The sequence below is a fragment of the Homo sapiens genome, chromosome 19 (genome assembly GCF_000001405.40).
Source record: "Homo sapiens chromosome 19, GRCh38.p14 Primary Assembly".
NCBI classification, from domain to species: Eukaryota; Metazoa; Chordata; class Mammalia; order Primates; family Hominidae; genus Homo; species Homo sapiens.
Window position 1 is genome coordinate 56,382,396 of NC_000019.10, and position 21,584 is coordinate 56,403,979.

Sequence of the window (21,584 nt, forward strand, 5' to 3'; positions counted from 1 at the left end):
CTGGGAGGCCGAGGCGGGTGGATCACAAAGGTCAGGAAATCCAGACCATCCTGGCCAACATGGTGAAACCTCATCTCTACTAAAAACACAAAAATTAGCTGGGCATGGTAGCGTGCACCTGTAGTCCCAGCTACTGGGGAGACTGGGGCAGGAGAATCGCTTGAACCCGGGAGGCAGAGGTTGTGCCACTGCACTGCAGCCTGGTGACAGAGCGAGACTCCATCTCCAAAAAAAGAGTAAAATTCAAAAAGTAGATAACTTCAGGCCACATTTACCAACCATAATAAAATTAAATTAGATATTATATCACTTAGGATGCTTTTGGCTGCGAATTTACAAAATATCCAACTAAAACTAACTGAGCAATCAAGTTTTATTTTTCTCAGATAACAAGGCATCAAAAAGGCAGTTCCAGAATTGGCCTAGTAGCTGAGTCTTCTCAGGCTCTGGGTCAGCTTCTCTGAGGTCCACTTTTTTCTCTTCTTGGTTCCAAGACAGCTGCAGCAGCTTCAGGCATCATGTTCTTATATAAAAATGTTTAAAAGCAGGAAGTGAGAGAGGAGGAAGTCTTCATGATAAACCTGTCTCTTCTGAATGAGGAAAATCTTTCCCAGAAGCCCCGGCAGATTCCACTGAGCAACACTGGGAGATACTGGCCATACTGTGCTGCACAGGAGACTGGAAAATTAGCATCTGATATTCTCAGAGTCCAAGGCAAGACACAGATGCTGCCAATAACAAGGGGAATTGGGTATGGCTGCTGGGATGACAACCAATGGTTGTCTGTGCCAGTCACATAAAACAATGTAACAATGTGGAAATTAAGAAATATTCTCCTAAATTTAGATTATTTCTGGATCAGAAAGAAACAAAAACTGAGATTATTGTAAGATGGTCTCTTTATTTCATCATTTTCTGTTACTTTCTTCTTTCACTGCCTGGATGTTTGGTAGACTTGAATAGCATGTTTAGTGCATATGAGTTTATCTTTCAGATTTTCATGTATATGCATGCATTCAAAGGCTATAAAAATTCCTCCAGTGTAGCTTTGGCTTTCCCCTTACCCTCACATCTCTTTGGCCACATTTCACATCTCTTGGCATGTTAAACTCTCAATTCATTCTTTTCATTACCATTTATGGTAATTGCATGATTTCTTTGTTAAGCAAATGATAATCTGGCTGTTTTTTTAACTTGTAAGAAAACTATAACTTTTGCTCTTGATAAAATTACTACACTGTGGTTAGAAAATGTGGTTCTGGAATGTGTTAGAAATAAAATTTCTCCCAACCTTTCCCAGCATTTTTGACAATTATGATCTGAACAATTTACATCCATAAAATTTTCTTTGATATGAATTTTCAGACTTAGGATAAAGGCTTACCTCTGAATGAAGGCATTGTCACTGGCATTACATTCTTCAAGTCTTTCTCCAAGAGGGAGAAGTAAGTCACAGTCACAATTAGCCTAGGCTAATGGGCTTTCCCCATTACTTCCATTCATATGGTTGCTTGCCAACATAAATTCTCTGATGATTAGTAAGGGGTAACTGCTGATGGAAGGCTTTTCTACATTTATTATATTCACATGTGTTTCTCTATTATGCATTCTCTGAGGTTGAACGGTAGTTGAATCATGACTCAAGGTCTTCTCACATTCCTTATATTCATAGGGCTTTTTCTCAGTGTGAATAACCTGATGATGAATCAATTGTGAGCAATGACTAAAAGCCTTCCCACATTCCTTACATTCATATGGCTTTTCACCTGTATGAATTCTGTAATGTACAGTAAGATGTGAGACCCGTTTGAAGGCCCTACCACATACCTTACATTGGTAGGGTTTCTCTCCAGTGTGAATTCTCTGATGTTGCTTGAGTTGTGAGCTCACTCTAAAGGCCTTTCCACATACTTTGCACTCATAGGGTTTCTCACCGGTATGAATTCTCTGATGTCGTATAAGAGTTGAGCCTTGATTAAAAGCCTTCCCACATTCCTTACATTCATAGAGTTTCCTGCCAGTATGAACAGTCTGATGTTGAATCAACTGAGAACGATGACTAAAGGTTTTCCCACATTCCTTGCATGCATAGGGTTTTTCACCAGTATGAATTCTATAATGTACTTTAAGATGTGAGATCCGATTGAAGGCCTTGCCACATTCCTTACACTGATAGGGTTTCTCGCCTGTGTGAGTTCGCTGATGTTCAATCAACTGTGAGCTTCGACTAAAGGCCTTCTCACAATCTTTACATTCATACGGTTTCTCACCAGTATGAACTCTCTGATGTTGTATAAAATTTGAACCAGAATTGAAGGCCTTTCCACATTCCTTACATTCATATGGTTTCTTACCAGAATGAATATTCTCATGTTGAATTAGTCGTGAGCCATATTTAAAGGCCTTCCCACATTCCTTACATTTATAGGGTTTCTCATTAGTATAAATTCCTTGATGATTAATAAGGAGTTCCTTTTGCCAGAAGTCTTTTCTACATTTATTATACCCAAAAGGTTTTTCTCTAGTATGAATTTTCTGATAAAAAGTAAGGGATGCATGCTGGTCAAAAGTGGGCATTTCTTCATGTCTGATGATCATCTGATGGAAATGTCTGTCTGGATTTCCCTGTTGTCTGTCAAACTGGTTTCTGCATTCCCAATCATCTTGGAAACTTGAACACTCAAGACCATAACTTGTAAGGCTTTCCATTATCTCCCATTGGGGTGATTCGACTTCATAAACATGCTGCTTTGGAAATAATTCCTTGGTATCATATCTGGACTCCAATACTAAGAATGAAAAAAAGCGAATATGTTTGGCTTCTTTTTTTTTCCAGATAAAGGAACTAAAATAAGAACTGGAGGGTTTAGACTCAATGCCTATTAACTCTTGAATGTAGCTAAGCAATTATAAAATGGACAAGTAGAACAGTGAAAGGAAAATAACATACATGAGATGAGGGAGGCAATAAGAGAGGTTATAAAAGTGATTCTAAAATGTTAGTGTGGGGCTGGGCATGGTGGCTCATGCCTGTAATCCCAGTGCTTTGGGAAGCCAAGAAGGGAGAATCACTTGAGGCCAGGAGTTTGAGACCAGCTTCAGCAACACAGCAAGACCCCATGTCTACAAAATAATTTTTAAAAATTAGCCAGCTGCAGTGGCACATGCCTGTAGTCCCAGCTGAGAAAAGAAGACTGCTTAAGCCCAGGAGTTAGAGGCTGTAGAGAGCTATGATCACGCCAATGCACTCCAACTTGGGTGACAGAGGGAGACTTTAAAAAAAAAAAAAAAAGAGTTGGTGTGGGTCAGAATCACTATTGAACAATATTTTTTAAGACAGTAAATGTTTCTGTGAGACTCTAGAAAAGACAAATATAGAGTGACAGAAACCAAAGCAAATCATTGGTTTGACGGACTGTGCAGGAGGGAGCACAAGGGAACTTTTTGGGTTGATGGAAATGTTCGCTATCTTGATTGAGGTGATGGTTATGTGGGTGTATAAATTTGTCAACACTCATTAATAGCACATTTTAAAAATGCATTTTATTGACCATAAATTATGCCCCCAAAAGAGTGAATTTTAAAAAGATGATGGGGATTTCAAGATGAAAAGAGTTCCGGAGATGGACGGTGATGATGGTTGTACAACAGTGTGAATGTACTTAACACTACTGAACTGTACACTTGAAAATGGTGAGCACGGTAAATCTTGTATTTTACCACAGTTTTAAAAAATAAAAATAAAAGTGGTGTTGGAAGTGTGTGGTTGGATCTGCAACCTGCCTCAGTGCCTGGAGGACATGCAGGAGAATGAACCAGAGGAATATGCTGGTACAGTGGCAGCTATTCTCATGTGTCCGCTAGAAGTTAGAATGACATGGCTGCTGTCTTCCTCTGTGAAGCTTTTTATATCTGAAGTTTAGCTGAACACCATGGTGTTTTTTATATCTGAAGTTTAGTTGAACGCCATGGCTGAAGCCCATTATCAACTGAATGACATTTCTTAAATTTCTTAAATGTCATGCATTTACCTGAACCTTTTCATTTCTTAAAGGTGACCTTGGAAAAAGAAGGGCTTTTTTCCTTGTTTAGAGGATTAGGCCAGTTGATTGAGGGTGGGTCCTTCTAGAGCAACATACTTTGCTGATTATTCAAACTGCATGAAAAAGCTGAATGCTATAATGGACTGTGATTCTACCTGGTACATTATTTCAGCTACAGTGGCAGGTTTTACTGTACTTATAGCAACCAACCCCAGTTGACTTAAAGAGACTCAGATATAGCTTGACTACAGGTGGGCACCACCATGCTCAGCTAATTTTTGTGCTTTTTTGTAAAGATGGGGTTTCGCCATATTGCCCAGGCTGGTCTCAAACTCCTGGGCTCAAGCAATCCGCCTGCCTTGGCCTCCCAAAGTGCTGGGATTACAGGCGTGAGCCACCATCCCCAGCCTCAAAGTACTTTTTGCTGAGAATTTGATTCTGTCCTAATTTGCTGAATCATACATCATAGATTCAAGGTGATGTGCTAACAAGGATATCATTTTTAAATGTTGCCATGAAGTTCAAATGCACCTTTTCATACTTTAAATTGATATATGTATATAACCCTTAAACGTTTATGTTCATGATAATTCTGTTGAGACTTCTGGCTAAGGATGTTGCTATACTGGTATATAAAATGTGCACAATTAAACTCCAGTGTGATACTACTCATTTCAGTATATATGAGTGCTGTATTTTGTGCAGTAGCTTTATCTTAATATGGCTCTTTGTGAATGCACTTTATAGCATTTATTGAGGGTGAAAGAGCAGGAGGGAATTCTATGTTACGTATTTCTATAAAAACATTGGTCATTTATTCAACAGAACCAGTATTCCTAACATTTGTCTGGGTTTTAGATATGTTGTTCTGCAGATCTATTCACTGTAGTGATCCCAACATTATTGAAAATTACCAAGCTTTTACTGCTCTCACCAGTGAAAAACTGTACCTTCTTAAATTCTGTCAGCATGTCACATTTATTGTAATCAACAGTAACTGGATGTTTCTGAGGTGTTTTGATTGGACTCAAAAGTATTACAATCAGTTTGGAGACAAAAACACAATCTGCATTTTAGTTTAAGTATGACACTGATGACTTAAAAAAAAACTATATACAAACGTTCTATATAAAGTTTGCCTCCAAAGTATTTCTCTTTCTCTTTCTTTTTTGCAGGGGAGATGGGGTCTCATTCTGTTGCCCAGGCTGGAGTGCAGAGGCACAATCATATTATACTACAACCTCAAACTCCTAGGCTCAGGTGATTCTCCTCTGTCAGCCTTCTGAGTAGCTGGGACTACAGGCATGAGTTATTACGCCTGGCTGCAGAGGGATTTTAATATGTAAAAGTATTAACACAGTGTATTAACTTTGTGCCCACGCAAATCTCTTTTCTATCACATCCTTATGTTCTTCGACAGATTGACTTTTATGCTTCTCCTTTTAGAAACATAAAATTGTTTTATTCTTAGTTTTAAAAAACATTTGAATGTGTACCCTTGCTTATGCGAAGATTTATGACCTACTAGTCATAGCTAAATAGTCAACATTGTAAGAGCTGATACTTTTTGGTTCATGTGAGGTTTGGCATTCTTGCATTTATGTACACGGATGTCAATTGTGTGGACTTCTTCTGTATTTATGTTAACTAGCTTTTACTGAATTGTTGAAACTAAAAAAGTTAAAAACGTGCTTATAAAAAAAGGGGGGGGGGATTATGTCCAAAGAACCCAGGAGCCAGTTTGAAAGGGTGTCACTGGGCAAGTCTGGAAAACTATGAACGTTGTGATAAATAATGATAATGGGTAATAATCTGTTACAGGATAAAACAAGATTTATTTTATTCTGACCTGGAAATGAGAAAAAATATGCCACCTACTATTAATCCATATGATATAAATGAAGAAACAAATGGTGAAAGGGAGAAAGCTCTTCTTTACAGGAGTATGTGATCTAATAAATAAGAATAAAGTTTTTTTAAAAATCACTATTTTGTAACTATTAATCATATCTGATCCAAGAGAAAACTATCAATGACTTCTGAAACTAGCAGGTGAATAATTTGTGAGAAGCACAATATTTATATCCTCTCCAGGTGGACCATAAAATCATGGCTTGCCTCTATTTCTACAGTGCTTTCCCTCTGCCCACAGTGCAGAACCCAAACTTCATAACGTGGTTGCCTTTCCTAGCGTATCTTTTTTTTTCTTTTTGAGACAGAGTCTCTCTCTGTTGCCCCAGCTGGAGCGCAGTGGTTCGATCTCGGATCACTGCAATCTCCGCCTCCCGTGTTCAAGCGATTCTCCTGCTTCAGCCTCCCAAGTAGCTGGGATTATAGGCACGTGCCACCACACCCGGCTAATTTTTGTGATTTTAGTCGGGACGAGGTTTCACCATGTTGGCCAGACTGGTCAAGTGATTTGGCCGCCTCAGCCTCCCAAAGTGCTGGGATTATAAGCATGAGCCACCATGCCCGGCCCCTAGTGTATCTCTGTGTTCCTCCCTTTGCTCACTGACCTCAGCCACAAGGGCCATCCATTATCTCAGAGGTACCAAGGGCTCCCTGCTCAGGTCCTTCACACTCATTGGCTACAACTGGTATTCCCCAGCTACATCACACCTTCCATGTCTCAGCTGAAATGCCTTATCCTTGAAGAGGCCATTGGCCCTACCATGCACCCTGACTGAACCTGTTCTTTTTCTTTCACATATTAGCTCATGTCCAGTGTGTATGATTTCATGTCTATTTTCCCACTGCAGTGTAAGTTCCATGAAAGCAAGGATAATGTCCACCTGCCTCATCAATGTATACTGTGGCATATTCCATGGTGCATAATAAAAGCTTAATAAGTACTTGTTAACTGACTCCAGAATTCAAACAAACCGATACAAATTCCTTTAGAAAAATGGTCAAAGGACAAGATCATGTCCTTTGCAGGGACATGGATGGAGCTGGAAGCCATTATCCTAAGCAAACTAACACAGGAACGGAAAACCAAATACTGCATGTTCTCACTTATAAGTGGGAGCTAAATGAGGACACATGGACACACAGAGCGGGACAACACACATGGGCCTTTCAGAGAATGGAAGGTTGGGCGGAGGGAGAGAATCAGGAACAGTAACTAATGAGTACTAGGCTTAATACCTGGGTGATGAAATAATCTGTAAACAAACCCCCATGACACAAGTTTACCTATTTAACAAACCTGCACTTATACTCCTGAAGTTAAAAAAAATTTTAAATATTAAAATTAAAATTAATAAAAAAAGAAAAATGGTCAAAAGATACAGACATCTTTCCAAAGACAAAATACTTTCCTTAGGAACCACCATATTTGTACTCAGTCTAGCCCTATAATCCAGGTTGAATTTTTAAAGTGTTTCAGGAGGAAGGAGCAGCCACCTTTGTCAAATGCTGCTGACGAGCTGAGGAAAACAACACGTAAGACATAAGCTTTGAAGGTAGCAACCTGCAGGGAAGATCTTCTAAGACAAAGGGCCACTTCCAGCGGACCTGATACCTGCAGTGGCTGCTCCCTTCCCAATGATACCTCACTCACCTGGACACAGGCCTCCAGACACCACTCTCTCCACCATCCAGGGCTCTTTGCCTTGCTCTAGGAAGGAGATCACATCAGGTTTGGAAACGGCAAGACCTGGAGATGAGAAGAAACATGCCACCTGGTTATGGTGTGGGGGCCCCAGAATTCAGATCCAGGACCTGGTCATCAAGCAGGAGAGGCAGTTGCAGGAAGTGCCAGAGGAAGATGGGACAGTTGCCTGGGGGTAGGGGGATGCAGCTTCAGCCGACAGCGCCGCCCTTTAACCCCTCAAAAATGACCAACCAATCATAAGACTGAAAAGCACCCAAAAACTGACCAGGAAGGAACATGCCCAAGGATAACCTCCAAACTAACAGACGAGATCACCTTACCCAGTGAGACCAGGTTGCTGTAGGTCTCCAACATCACGTCTCTGTACAAATCCCTCTGAGCAGGTGCCAACCACTGCCATTCTTCTTGGGAGAAGACTATGGCCACATCCCTGAACAATTCTGACCCCTGGAATGACAGGCATGTATGATATATATGTATTTCAATGGTTCACAGTGGGATGAAAGGAGATGGGGCAGGTCTTTGCGGGAGGGGGGGTTGTTTTGTTGAACAAGAAGGGTGGGACTGAATGTGAAAGGTGACAGAAGAAATGGGGATGAGTAAAACAGAATGATCAAATTGTTCTCAAACATTCCTTTTAACTGCAAATCAATGCTCTGTGTACAGGTCTGGGATGAAAATTAAAATCAAGCTAAATGGAGTTTTCCTTATTGTTAAGAAACAGTGTAATAAAGCACACTGCCCACTCTATACTTGGCATACAATAAATTCTCAAGGTGAGACCTATCACTTCTATCTTTTGGAATAACAATAACAACAAAAAATATTTCTGATGGATTTTCCCCAAATATTTTATTTTTTAAAATTATGGAAACATGTTTTCTATCTTAGATACAGGATTTTCATGTAAGTCAAGAATTTCTTGGAGATGAAAGTTCATCATTATGTTGGAACATAACACAAGCATTTTTCTTCATGGGAAAAACCATGGAGATAACTTTTATTGAGTGCACAATTTTCTATCAAGTGAAACAACTGACTCAAACATCCTCTTATTTTGGATCCCGAGGTTGGATCAGATCTCTAAGGCTTTTCCAAGCCCTGACCACTCACCCACCTAGATGATCATCTCACTTGCTACATCGCTCACCATCCTCAGCTCTGTACTTTTCTTCCTCTTAAGCTAAAGAAACTAATGGAGGATGTCCCAGATTCAAATGCTCTGTCCAACGTCAAACTAGACTTTAATTCTGGCATCAAATTTTTGATGGATTCCCAGCCAAACCTCAATTACATATCCAATCATTAATCATTCCCAAAGCAGGACACTGTACCATGCGCTGAAACTGAAACCAACCAACACCACCTCCCCTGCTTTTCTATATGTGATTGCTCCTAAGCATTCATTCCATCTCTTCAAACTTCAGTTCTTACAAAGGATGCTCTCATTTCATACAGGGAAATGAGTTTCTCCTCCTAGCAGACGAAAACCATCAGGAGATGCAGAATGCTATAGAGAATAAATCTGTGGGCATTTGTCAGAGGGGAGAGGACAATGGGAGAGGAGACTCCTGCCTGGTCCTTTTATTCCCTAAAATGGGAAAGTCTGAGAACCAAATTTCTGGATGGAACCCAGGTGGAAAGTTTCAAGATAAGGAAAGCAAATATTTATGGGATTTAAAAACTCACAAGGGACATGACTTTTAGAATTTCAAGGGCTGATAGGTCCTCCTTCTGGTTCCTCTCTTGGGGAAGGGCAGAGTCCTGCGACGGTAGAGCTGGGGGAGGAAAGAGCAAACATGAGAGGCTAGGCTTGCCTCACAGTTCCTAGAATGCCAAGTTACAAGTCCCCACCTGCTTGCCCTCTGCCCACCAAGAAAATGAGAAGGAGGGGGAGGCAAAGGGATCCTCACCCAACCCCAGGAAACCAGCTTTAGCTGCTGCAAGGCAAAGGGGAACCAGTGGTCCTTTCCCTCCCATTTCCCCTAAACATCCAGTGGTTCTGTTTTGCTGCAAATGCAAGTCTAAGACAGGGATGCTGAGGGCTGTTCTAGTGACTGAGACCCACATGTTACCTCAAGGACAAGGAGGGCTTCCCTCAAGCCAGGGAGCATAGAAGGCCTGCATCATTTGCATAGCCCCAGCCTAGAATAAAGCCTTTCCAGGACTAGGCCATTTAACTCTCTCCTGCAGCAAATATAACACCTTTGAAAGTCTACCTGGCTCTTTTCCCAACCGCCAAATATACAAAAAGCTCTACAGCCCAAACTGAGGCTTTGTGCATGCCACTTCATGGAGCATGCCTTGCATCAACAAATGGGATAGAGTTGGAAGGAACAGTAAGAGACAAATTACACACAGCACGCCCAGTGCTCCATTATCAGCACATAAATGTGTCCTTCCATAGAGACACAGCAGTGCACAAAGCTGCATGTCCAATAATATTTGCTAAATAGGAGAACTGAAAATTAGTACGTAAGTAGGCAAGTCCACAAGTAGCCAAGAGGTTGAATCATTTTTGGCACAGCCATATAATGGGATGCCAAGTGACTATCAAAAATGACTATCAAAAACTGACAAGCAAAGATATTAACTACTGAATCCTTTGAGAACATTCAGCAAAAAGAAGTCAAACTCACTAACACACAGGCTAAAAACAAAACAAAACAAAAAAATTGGAAGAAAAAACACCCAAGTATTCGCAGTGTTGTCATTTAACCAGTTCTTGAGCTCACTGTTAAACAAGAAGTACTCTGTAAAGGAGTATATAAGGTGCCTACTGCATTACAAACATTTGGTTCTAAGTAACGTGTAAGTGAAATAATTATGAATGTTGCTTAATATGATGTAATAGGCAGCTTTTCCTTATTATGACCACTTTTATAAGCATTATTTGTATTAACTGCACGATATCCTATTTACAAAGGATGGCCTGTGATCCACTCAAGTGTTTCCCCATTGCTGGACATAGAATTTGAACATATAAAATGTTCCCAAGTATAAGTTTTTCTAAACTAGCGGTTCTAAGTCTTCTGGGGTCTTGTAACTCTCTGAGAACCTCATGAAACAAGATTTCCTCTCAGATTAAAAAAAAAAAAAGGCACGCATAACAGTGAATGCAAAACATCCGCAATTTCAGGGGGTCGGAGACCCCTGCGCACCCACCTAAGGGGTCCATGCACCTGGGCTATGAGGCTGGAAGCAGAAAGGGGGCGCCAGAAAGCGCACGCCGCGAGGGCCGGCGGGAAATGTAGTCTCACGCCGGTAAAGCCACAGAGCGACGATGAGGCGAGACGTCTGCGTTCTTCTCAGGCCTGAGACCCAACCGGCCCGGGCACCAGCTCCTGCTGGACCCCAGAGCGCCTGGAAAGCTCCGGAACCTCTCACCTGCCGCCTCCTCGGGTCCAAGTGCCACCGCGGCCGCGCCCCCGGCAGCCCAGGGCGCGCTTCCACCACGGTACCGGTGGATTCGCCGTGCGCAGCCGGAAGATGGCGCAGACGCACAAAGCACACCGATGCTGCGCCATGATAGGGCCGGCGCCGCAGTGTCTTCCGGGAAACATAGTCTTTAGGCGTAAAGGCAGCAGCCCGGCCTTGAAGCCGGATCTCGCGATGTTTCAGGGTGAGCCGGACGCAGGCGTGCCTGCGCAGTGCGCGGAGGAGTGCTGTTCGTGTGTTCGAGTCCCTGGGTTGCTTCCTGGGGTCTGTGGTGCTGGGTGTGCTATCTGCGTGTGATTCTCTAGCGAGAGATTGTGGGCGAGTGACCGAGTGGGCAAGGGGCCGTCACTGTGTGTGCGTGATTTTGACAGTGTGTGGTGGTAGCTTCTGACTCCGCGTGGGTCGTTGAATGTATGACTGGGACCGTTTAGCGGTGGATACACAACTGTGTGCGGCTGTGGAAGATTGCCTCATCCGTTACGTTCCCATTTCCGTGGAACAACAGTTTTACCAGAAGGTTTCGAAGGAACCTTAAAGTTTGGAAGCGTAAGAGTTTATCTGGTAACTAATTTTAAACATTACATCTATGGTGAGTTAAATGTGGGTTATGAAGGAGAACGCAAAATAAAAACGTTATAAAGATGTAAAGGAGTTTTATGGGGCGGCATCTCTTGGGCAAATATCAGACCGCCGTAGGTAGTTGTTAATTCTCTCTTGTTTTTAGGCGGCTTTGGTGTCATCAAATGTGAGAAGCCCTGGACTTTACACATCCCGAGCCAGTGTGATCCAGTATGATTGGGAGTCCGAGTGCCAGATGCCGGTCAGGACCTGTTATGCTGGGTCTCAGAATGCGGAAACTCTCCCTGTCCGAGGTGGAACAGTTTGTCCTTGAGTGAGGACTGGAGTCCTGAGTGACTCTTTTGATTTGATCCTGTTTCCCTCAAACCTGGTGAGCTCTATGGTGTAATAAATGGTTAAGAGTGTGAACCCTTAACCATCTCTAAGACTGGAGCCAGAATGCCTGAACTCCAGTCTTAGAGATGTGCCTCGGTCTCCACATTTGAAAGTGAGGATGATTGTGGCATCTAATTCATTGAGTTGTTGGGGAGGAGTAACTGATATGTAAAATAATGCTACTGCTGCTGGATAAGGATGCTAATATGACTGAAGCTAATGCTTTCTTTCTGCAAAGATGCTTTTTCCAAAACACACCATATTGCCTCTTTACACATTCTTCAGGAGAGGGTAGAGGCTGCATTTTCCTTGTAGGTGCGGTGATGTGGTGGAAAGCACACTTTTAGAATTAGACAGATGTGGATTCAAATAGCATTTCAGCCATTTATTAGTTTCTTCGTGCCTATCTCGGTTTTGTTTTGTTTTTTTTTTTTTGTCCATAAAAGGAAGAATGTAATGCTGGGCTTGCAGCTTTGTCCTGAGGGTCAAATAAAATGATTTAATAATATAAGCAAAGCTCAGAGGTTGGTTATTGCTGATTACTGATATTAAAAGACAACTTCAGCAAGGATGGTTGAATTTCACACTTGTGAGCGGACAGTTGAGGAGACAGTTGTAGATTTATCCTACTTGACCTTATTTGTGGTTCAAGACAGTGTTGCGAGTTCAAGAGGAGAGGGTAGATGCAAAAAGTCATCATCTTTCCTATGTTCTCTGATCTTGGGAAGGGGCGAGTGGCTCTAGTTTCCCTTTAACATCCCACTGTGTTGAGTGTGTCTATATGTACATGCGTCAGTATTTGCTTATGGAGGAAAGGAAGGAAAAAGACCAAACAGGTACAAAGCCAGCCATCTCTCAGGCTAACTTTCTTCTATACCATTTTTACTTTCTCACATTCATTAATCTGCCAAAGAGAAATTTAGAGGATGATGAAATGGCCACTTCTGACTCTGAACCAAGCCTCTGAAGTCATACACCATTATACTCTTGGTCACAAAATCAGCTGTGAGTCTAAGTAGGTGGAGGCTACACAAGAGTATAAGTACTAGGAGGCAGGGATCATTCAGGGTCGTCTTAGAGGGTGGCTTCCAGTTTCTTCCTTTTAAGAGTATGAGAATGCTCTGAGCTAGCCTCTCCATTCCATGGAATCCATAGGTCTTTTGTCAGCCACTTCCCAGTACACATTCCTGTGCCAAAGCACATGCAGAGTTTGTAGGGTCCAGCCCCACAGGGTCGGTTGGTTTCTCCCCGTGTGCGGAGACGAGAGATTGTAGAAATAAAGACGCAAGACAGAGATAAAAGAAAAGACAGCTGGGCCCAGGGGACCACTACCACCAAGACGCGGAGACTGGTAGTGGCCCCGAATGCCAGGCTGCGCTGATATTTATTGGATACAAGACAAAGGGGCAGGATAAGGAGTGTGAGCCATCTCCAATGATAGGTAAGGCCACATGGGTCACATGTCCACTGGACAGGGGGCCCTTTCCTGCCTGGCAGCCGAGGCAGAGAGAGAGAGGAGAAAGAGAGAGAGAGCTTACACCATTATTTCTACTTATTAGAGACTTAGTACTTTCACTGGTTTGCTACTGCTAACTAAACGGCAGAGCCAGGTGTACAGGATGGAACATGAAGGTGGACTAGGAGCGTGACCACTGAAGCACAGCATCACAGGGAGACGGTTAGGCCTCCGGATAACTGCAGGTGGGCCTGAGGCCCTCCACAAGTGGTGGAGGAGTAGAGTCTTCTCTAAACTCCCCCGGGGAAAGGGAGACTCCCTTTCCCGGTCCGCTACGTAGCAGGTGTTTTTCCTTGACACTAACACTACTGCTAGACCACGGTCCGCTTGGCAACGGGCATCTTCCCAGATGCTGGCATCACCGCTAGACCAAGGAGCCCTCTGGTGGCCCTGTCTGGGCATAACAGAAGGCTCGCACTCTTGTCTTCTGGTCACTTCTCACTATGTCTCCTCAGCTCCTATCTCTATATGGCCTGGCTTTTCCCAGGTTATGATTATAGAGTGAGGATTATTATAATTTGGAATAAAGAGTAATTGCTACCAACTAATGATTAATGATATTCATATATAATCATATCTAAGATCTATATCTGGTATAACTATTCTTGTTTTATATTTTATTATACTGGAACAGCTCGTGTCCTCGGTCTCTTGCCTTGGCACCTGGGTGGCTTGCCGCCCACAGAGTTACTCCAGCAGCTCCCTCTCCTGTTATCCCCAGCCATATCCGTGCTTCTGCCAGATTCCTTCTGTTTCAGGATCACCCATTATCACTTGAATGAGATCAACTGTGGGGAGGTGGGCCATATTCTGTTGTGCATAGTAATCCAAGCAAGGAATCACACAACAAAGTGGGTTCTAACCCAATCTTAGCTACTTACTCCCTGAGTGACCTTGGGCACCTCCCCCAATTTTTCTGACCTAAAATCTGTGCATTATAATAATAATAAATTTCCACGGAGGAAGTATAACCTTTTCAACAAACAGTGCTGGAGCAACTGGACATCCATAGCCAAAAAAGAAAAAGGATAAAAGGCTTTTCTGCAGTACTAATCCAGGAGAAAAATAAATGTATTGCATCTTCCTTGTGACAACTGAGGACAAAATACATGTGGCCTCTCTCTGAGGACTTTTTTTTTTAAGAGACAAGGTCTCACTCTGTCACCCAAGCTGGTGTGCAGTGGTGTTCCTGGACTGAACTGAAGGTCAGGCTGCTTATTCTCGCAGCCCTATAACAAGATGCTGATGAACTGTGAAAGAAGAGAGTTTTATTTCTGTAACCGGGTACAGGGAGAGGGCCAGAAAAATATTGCCAGACCAACTCAAAATTACAAAGTTTTCCAGTGCTTATCTACCTTCTAAGCTATATGTCTACATGTTAGTGTGCATTCATCTAAAGACACAAGTGATTAATTTCTTCTAATCTATAACTAAGGTCTGAGTTATAGACCTTGGGGACATTCCTCTGGAGCCTCAGTGATTTTACTTACTCTAGATGGGTCCAAGTGCCAAAGGTAATTACCTTATCTTGTCTCCTACTAAGTTATGGAGGTCTGGAGAGTTCCTTTAGACCCCCAATAAAACTTGTTTAATCCTAAATGGATCCTGGTATGAGGAGTGTGACCATTCCTTCATTATTTTGTCATGCTTCAAATCATCAGCCTTTGTGTTAGGGCGCTGGCTCTCTCAGCCTTTAATATTTAACCTAACCATTTAGTCAATGCTAGAACAGTTCTTATGGAGGCCTGCCTGTTCAGTTTTTGTGAGATCTGGCTTGCCACAGTGGCACAAACGGCTTACTGCAGCCTCAACTTCCTGGGCTTAAGCGATCCTCCTACCTCAGCCTCCCAAGTAGCTGAGAACACAGGTGCGTACCACCACACCAGCTAATTTTTCTTTTCTTTTTTTTTTTCTGTAGAGATGGGAGCCTCACTGTATTGCCCAGGCTGGTCTTGAACTCCGGAGCTCAAGTGATCGTCTTGCTTCAGCCTTGCAAAATGATGGTGAAGCTGCATCATTGTCTGGGGTAAATACCTGAGGTTCGTTGTCTCACGCCAAGGGAATCAAGGACGTGGACACACAAGAAGTGAGTTTAAGAGCGGAGGTTTAATAGGCGAAAGAGAAAAGAGAATAGCTCTAGCTCCTGCAGAGAGAAAAGGGCTCCCAAGTAGGACTTCCAGTCCGTGGCGAAGGGCACGGGGTTTATAGACTGGCTTCAGGAGGTGGTGTCTGATTTACGTAGGCCCCAAAGATTGGTTGGACCAGGTGTGCCAATCAGAAGCTGGCTGCCCCACCCTAATCTTTTATTATGCAGATGGAGTCCCTGTCTGACCGGGCCATGTTGTATGTTCCTTGCTGTACACGTGGTTGACAAAGAAAAGGGAAGATGGAGCTGCGATGTTGGACATGCCTGGCCCCCAGGTAGCTTTTTCCTATTGGCACAGCTGCTGGCATTCACCCGTGCAAACTTCCAGCTTGCTTATCTATGTCTGCAGCTTGATTTTTCAGGCTGCTGTTTGTTAGAAAAGAAATGACTTGGGGGCTGCTTTTCATTAAAAGGAAAACCTTACCGGGGATTTCCTTACCCTCACTATCTGCCTAAATAATTTCTTTTTAACTCCTATGTCACTTGGGATTACAGGCATGAGCCGCTGTGCCTGCTAGAGGGTTTTTTATCTTTATTCCTCAAGATTTTGCATTTAGATAATTATGTTAAACTTGGGTGTGCTAGGTAGACATACGTCTGCTGATTACCTGTTTAGGAAGAATGTGGATTCGTACGTAGGGAAAAGGAGTCAGGCTGGTGGGACCAGGGGAAAGCAAAGAGATAAAGCAAATAAGCTATAGATCTGCATTTTCTTCATGGTCCAGGATATATAAACAAAAAAAGGAAGCAGATAAGCTATAGGCTTGCTTTTCTTTATGACCCAGGACATACAGCCCTGCCGAGCAAATAATGAACGTAACTCACAAACTTCCTGCTTATCATCAAACGCACGCATCCACTTATCATCAAACACCTCGGGTGACAGAAGAATGCAGGTCAGCTCCCTGCTGCCTTGGCATTATCAATCAGCCCAGGAACCATCCTATAAAATCTCCAGCAAGCCTTTGTTTCCTTGCAGTCAGCTCCTCTTCCACTGATTCTGCCTGTTGCTCCCTGATAACATACTTTGATACTGTCTTTAATAAATCTGCCTTTCTTCACCCACAGCTGTCTTGGTAAGTTCTTTTACCTCTGTGCCACCAGCCCAAACAGTTGCTGCTCACCTGAAACAAAGAATAAATGTGGTTTTTAAGCAAATCAAAGTTTACTTAGTGACTCTTACCAAGCTTTGTAGAAGGTTGTGCCAAAAGGAGAAGCTTAAGAGATAACGGCTAAAAATAAAAAATGTTACCACCGCCCAAGGGGTTCTTCCTGCCCACTGCATAAAGAAAGACCATGGCATTGTAGTAGAGAAAGAGGTTAATAGACATGAGGCTGGCCACGCCACATGGGAAATGGAGTTCGTACTCAAATCATCTAATCCAAAGCTCTTATCTTAGAGGTTTTTCAAAGTCACTTTGGGGGAAGGGGTGGGAGTGGCCAGATAACAGGTGCTTGCTGCTGATTCGTTGGGCTGGAGATGAAATCATAGGGGGTCAAAGCTCTCCTTGTGTGGGGTGAATTGCTTCTGGGTGGTGCCACAGGAACTGGGTTGGTTAGTCCAAGTGGAACCATCAGGTCCAGGTGGAGCCATGGGTGTCAGACATGAAAAAACCTGAAAAGATATCTCAAAAGGCCAATCTGAGGTTCTACAGTAGTGATGTCATTTGTAGTAGTAATTGGGAAAGTTGCATATCCTATAACCTTTGGAATAATGGCTGACAGTTGAATAATGCTGCCACCTTAGCAGGACCCAGACTCCTCTCCTCCCAGACTGATGGCCTCCCATTAGCTTTACAAAAACAATTGAGTTTTGGGCAAAGCCTGTTATTTAAACTATAGCGTAAATGTCTTCCAAAGTTAGCTCAGCCCTATAGCCCAGGAATAATTAAGGGAAAGGCAAGATAGGTGGGTTAGCTCAGTTTACTATAATAATTTTTCTCACTGATACAGTTTTTGCAAAGGTGGTTTCATAAAGATGCCTACTCTCTTCACACATTTGTGAAATGTCGAAAAGACTGCAAAAACCTGGACGTTTACTGATGCCTTATTTTAAACAAGGCTTGTCTGGTTTGAAAAAGTGAGGGGAAGCTATCAATCATAATTTTGTTAAATACAGTGAGTTCTAAGTTTCTCCTCAAAGAATCTGTGTCAGTATGTTCAGTTCTTTGTTTTCCATTTTAAAGTTTAACTTCCTCATTCTCTTCATCTCCTTGCCCCTAGTTTCAGTAAACAACCTCCCTGCCAGTTCTGATCAGTAGTTCACATCTGTTCTCCTGGTCACTTGCTCCATCCTGAGACCCCTGGTCACCCGCTCTAACCTAAGTCACCTTTAGTCACCTATTCCGTAACCGTCTTTCCTGCCACAACTGCTCACCCCACCACTGTAGCTCTTAACCCCTGCTGTCTTTAAAATAGCCAATCGGAATTAGCTTAGACTGTGCAGTCCAACCCTAGCCAATAGGGGAACGATGCAACAGTAGGGGCTACCTGTGTCAGGGATAAGAACCCCTTCCCCTCCCTTGTTCAGGTGTGCTCTCACCATTGTTCCATCCACAAGATGCACCCTTCTGTAGAAGTAAAATTGCCTTGCTGAGAAAATTTCTGTTCGAATGCTATTTCTTTTGTGGCACCGAAAATTTATTTCTAACAATTTCAACACTCAAACACAACCCAACTACAATTTTTGTGGATTATGTTCCTTTTACTTTTTAGGAACAGTTTTCCAATGTTGCAGTCATAATGCAATTTTATCAGCTTTGTTCCTCCTTTAAGAAACCTTAATACAAGAAGTATTTTTACATGTTGCTTCATTGCCATGCAATTATTCGTTTAAAAAGTTGTATAGTTTTCAATCAGATAGATGTGAAAGGAAAATAAATCCCAGGACTCCGGTTGGGCACAGTGGCTCATGCCTGTGATTCCAGCACTTTGGGAGGCCGAGGCGGGTGGATCACGAGGTCAGGAGATCGAGACCAGCCTGGCCAACATGGTAAACCCCGTCTCTACTAAAGATTAAAAAAAAAAAATTAAGTGGGTGTGGTGGTGTGCACCTGTAATACCAGCTACTCTACTCGGGAGGCTGAGGCAGGAGAATAGCTTGAACCCGGGAGGCGGAGGCTGCAGTGAGCAGAGATCACACCATTGCACTCCAGCCTGGGCAACAGGGCGAGACTCTGTCTCAAAAAAAAAAAAAAAATCTAAGGACTCCAAAATCACTAAGCCAAGGGAAAGTCAAGCTGGGAACTATGTCAGGCAAGGCTGCCTCTCATTTGATTCCTAAATACAATAGCTATAAAGATTAAAAGCTACATACCTCCCTCACAATTTGCCCACAAGGAAATTCCTTTTGGACAAAGGACAGAAAGAATTCAAAGTCATCCCTCTGAGGCTCACCTGAGAGAAATGCATATCTGATTGCTTCCTTGGACCTAGTGTTTATGTAAAAATGCAAATTCACAGAGCCAGACTAAATTGTGTATTCAGTGGAAAGCTAATCAATAACTCAAAAGAATGCAACCTTTTGTCCCACATCTATTTATGACCTGGAAGCCTCCACCTCAGATTTTTCCACCTTACCTGACTGAACCACTGTACATCTTACACATAGTGATTGATGTCTCATATCTCCCTAAGATGTATAAAAGCAAGCTGTACCCCAACCACCTTGGGCACATGTCATCAGAACGTCCTGAGACTGTCAGTGCTTCCCTAACCATGGGAAAATAAACTTTCCAAATCGATTGAGACCTGTCTCCAATACCTTTTGGTTTACAACATACTGTTATTTATTTGACCATTCTTCTACTTGTAGCTGTGGAGTCCTGATAAGTAAGCAACAATGAGGAAGGGGCCCCAGTGGGGAAGTACAATGAACAGTTGTCCTGAGAAATGGCTAATCAAACAACAGCTCTCTCCAGGATGACCCTATAAAACTTCCTTCCAGCTCCTGCCTCTTTGCAGACAGCTCCTTCTCTCCTGTGCTGCCAGTTGCAACCTTGCAATGTATTTTCATACGTTCTCTAATAAATCTGCCTTTCTTTAGGACTGTCCTGGTAAATATGAGACTGTTTTCTTTACCGCCTTTGATACAAGCCCTATCTAGTTGCTACCCATGACAGTAGGTATATTGTTTATGTTCAACATTTTATTATAAACAATGTTTCAGCTGGGCTCGGTGGCTCATGCCTGTAATCCCAGCACTTTGGGAGGCTGAGGCAGACAGATCAGGAGGTCAGGAGATTGAGACCATCCTGGCTAACAGGTGAAACCCCGTCTCTACTAAAAATACAAAAAAATTAGCCAGGCGTGGTGGCACGTGCCTGTAGTCCCAGCTACTCGGGAGGCTGAGGCAGGAGAATGGCATGAACCTGGGAGGTGGAGCTTGCAGTGAGCTGAGATTGCGCCACTGCACTCCAGCCTGGGTGACAGAGCAAGACTCCGTCTCAAAAAAAAGTTTCAGTTAGTATTTTTTGCTGATATCATAGTTGCGTTTGTTTAATTTCCTCAAATAAAATTCCCAGCTTATATGATGCTCTTTGTCACTGGCAACTTTGGTCAGACAATTAAATGAAGCAATTGAAGGGCACAACAGGATTTTGGAAGGGATGGTACAGGATTGGGAGATAAACTAGAGATAGGAGTTTATAAAATATTTTCAAAGACAGATTGAAGAATAGGAATAAGAGTATGATATTGTGAAATATATATTTGATCTTCCTAGCATAGAACTTCTAAAATCCTTAGAAACTACAAAGTAACAGTAAAAACTCATTTTGTATGCTAATGAGTTGACAGCTGGCAACCCCTATAGAGTTTCAGGATGGGGACTGGTTATGGAAAGACCAAGACATGACTAGAAGGTTGGGACATTCAACCCCACCCCCAACCCTAAGGAGGGGACGGGATTTTAATCAACCATGCCTATGTAATGAAGCCTCTGTAAAACTCCCAAAAGACAGGGTTTAGAGAGCTTCCACCCAGCTGAACATGTGGAGGTTACTGGAAGGTGCAACACCCTTTTTTCTGTACTTTGCCCTACGCATCTCTTCATCTATATCATTTGTAATATCCTTTATAATAAACTAGTAAACATAAGTGTTTCCTGAGTTCCGTGAGCCACTCTAGCAAAATATCGAACCGCAAAGAGGGGGTGGTGAAAATCCCAATTTGAAGGTGGTGGAGTCAGATGTTCCAGAGGCTAGACTTTAGTGGGAAGTGGGAAGGGGGAGGCAGGCTTGGGGACTGAGCCCTCAGCGAATGGTGTCTGACCCATCTCCAAGTAGACGGCGTCGGAATTAAACTGGAGGACACCCAGCTGGTGCCCGCTGCAGAACTCACTGAACTCATTGCTTGCTTGAGATGTGTGGGAAACTCCCCTATATTTGGTCAGAAAAGTCTTCTGTTATGATTAGTTGTCGTTGAGATAATAGAAAAAAATGCACCTTGCGTTTTTTCCACTGATTCAGAGGGCATAACTGAAAGAATGAAGAACTGAAAGAATGATCTTAATACTCTGCTTCGCTTTTCTTGATAATACGCATTACTTCCCAATATGCATCAGTGTCCTTTATTATTAATTTTTTCCTATTGAATTCCTCCCGCATTAGAATGCTGCTCCATGAGGTGGGGATTTTGTCTGCTTGTTCACTGCTGTGTGCCCAGGGCCCACGACAGTGCCCGATACAGCAGGCGCTCAATAAGTGGCGAATGAAAGACAGGGCAAGGCGGAGAGAGAAGAAACAGAAAGGGAAAGAGAAAGCCCGGGCCGCCAGAGCGCTTAATCACACGTACATCCTACCGGGCCCCTCTCCAGCTGGCTCAGGCTCCACACTGGTCCTCCAGCTCCCTTTTCTCAGCGATGGACTCACA

General features: G+C 42.9%; 1 protein-coding gene, 1 long non-coding RNA gene and 1 pseudogene across 7 annotated transcripts, besides 2 other annotated features; 2 read left to right on the top strand and 1 right to left on the bottom strand.

The window, feature by feature from the left end:
• Positions 356-11,139, bottom strand: ZNF582 (zinc finger protein 582). Of its 4 annotated transcripts, none has more exons than XR_007066621.1 (6): positions 11,047-11,139; positions 9,349-9,437; positions 7,980-8,106; positions 7,606-7,701; positions 1,385-2,789; positions 356-523 (listed from the first exon to the last, which is right to left on the bottom strand). XR_007066621.1 is itself a non-coding variant. In NM_144690.3 (5 exons), exons 2-5 carry the CDS (start codon positions 9,355-9,357, stop codon positions 1,468-1,470), a joined length of 1,554 nt encoding a protein of 517 aa, NP_653291.1. In that variant the 5' UTR covers positions 9,358-9,437; positions 11,047-11,139; the 3' UTR covers positions 356-1,467. The 4 variants fall into 4 exon arrangements, 2 of the variants coding, with proteins under 2 accessions (NP_653291.1, NP_001307300.2); XR_430188.4 differs by having other exon boundaries at positions 10,825-11,139; NM_144690.3 differs by having other exon boundaries at positions 356-2,789.
• Positions 1,266-2,465: an enhancer, noted in NCBI's record as "BRD4-independent group 4 enhancer chr19:56895030-56896229 (GRCh37/hg19 assembly coordinates)". NCBI's record gives its function as "activates an origin of replication core promoter dependent on BRD2, P300/CBP, MED14 and CDK7 cofactors, and independent of BRD4, by STARR-seq in HCT116 cells {active_cell/tissue: HCT116}" and the evidence as "EXISTENCE:reporter gene assay evidence [ECO:0000049][PMID:35650434]".
• SLC25A36P1 (SLC25A36 pseudogene 1) lies at positions 3,831-4,295 on the top strand (annotated as a pseudogene).
• On the top strand, positions 11,281-16,780 carry ZNF582-DT (ZNF582 divergent transcript). Of its 3 annotated transcripts, none has more exons than NR_037161.1 (4): positions 11,281-12,046; positions 15,486-15,653; positions 15,882-15,988; positions 16,499-16,775. It is a non-coding gene; the product is annotated as a ZNF582 divergent transcript (long non-coding RNA). The 3 variants fall into 3 exon arrangements; NR_037159.1 differs by having other exon boundaries at positions 11,281-11,658; positions 11,822-12,046; positions 15,882-16,775; NR_037160.1 differs by having other exon boundaries at positions 11,281-11,658; positions 15,486-16,780.
• Positions 21,361-21,500: an enhancer, noted in NCBI's record as "active region_15119". NCBI's record gives its function as "activates an Ori minimal core promoter by ATAC-STARR-seq in GM12878 lymphoblastoid cells {active_cell/tissue: GM12878}" and the evidence as "EXISTENCE:reporter gene assay evidence [ECO:0000049][PMID:35858748]".

Bases quoted from the DNA above. Each gene is read 5' to 3' on its own strand.
- ZNF582 (NM_144690.3), bottom strand. The intron at 7,702-7,979 runs GTAAGGTGATCT...TCTCATCTCCAG, and splicing joins CAGCAACCTGGTCTCACTGG to GTCTTGCCGTTTCCAAACCT. The intron at 2,790-7,605 runs GTGAGTGAGGTA...TTTCATTCTTAG, and splicing joins GTCTGGAGGCCTGTGTCCAG to TATTGGAGTCCAGATATGAT.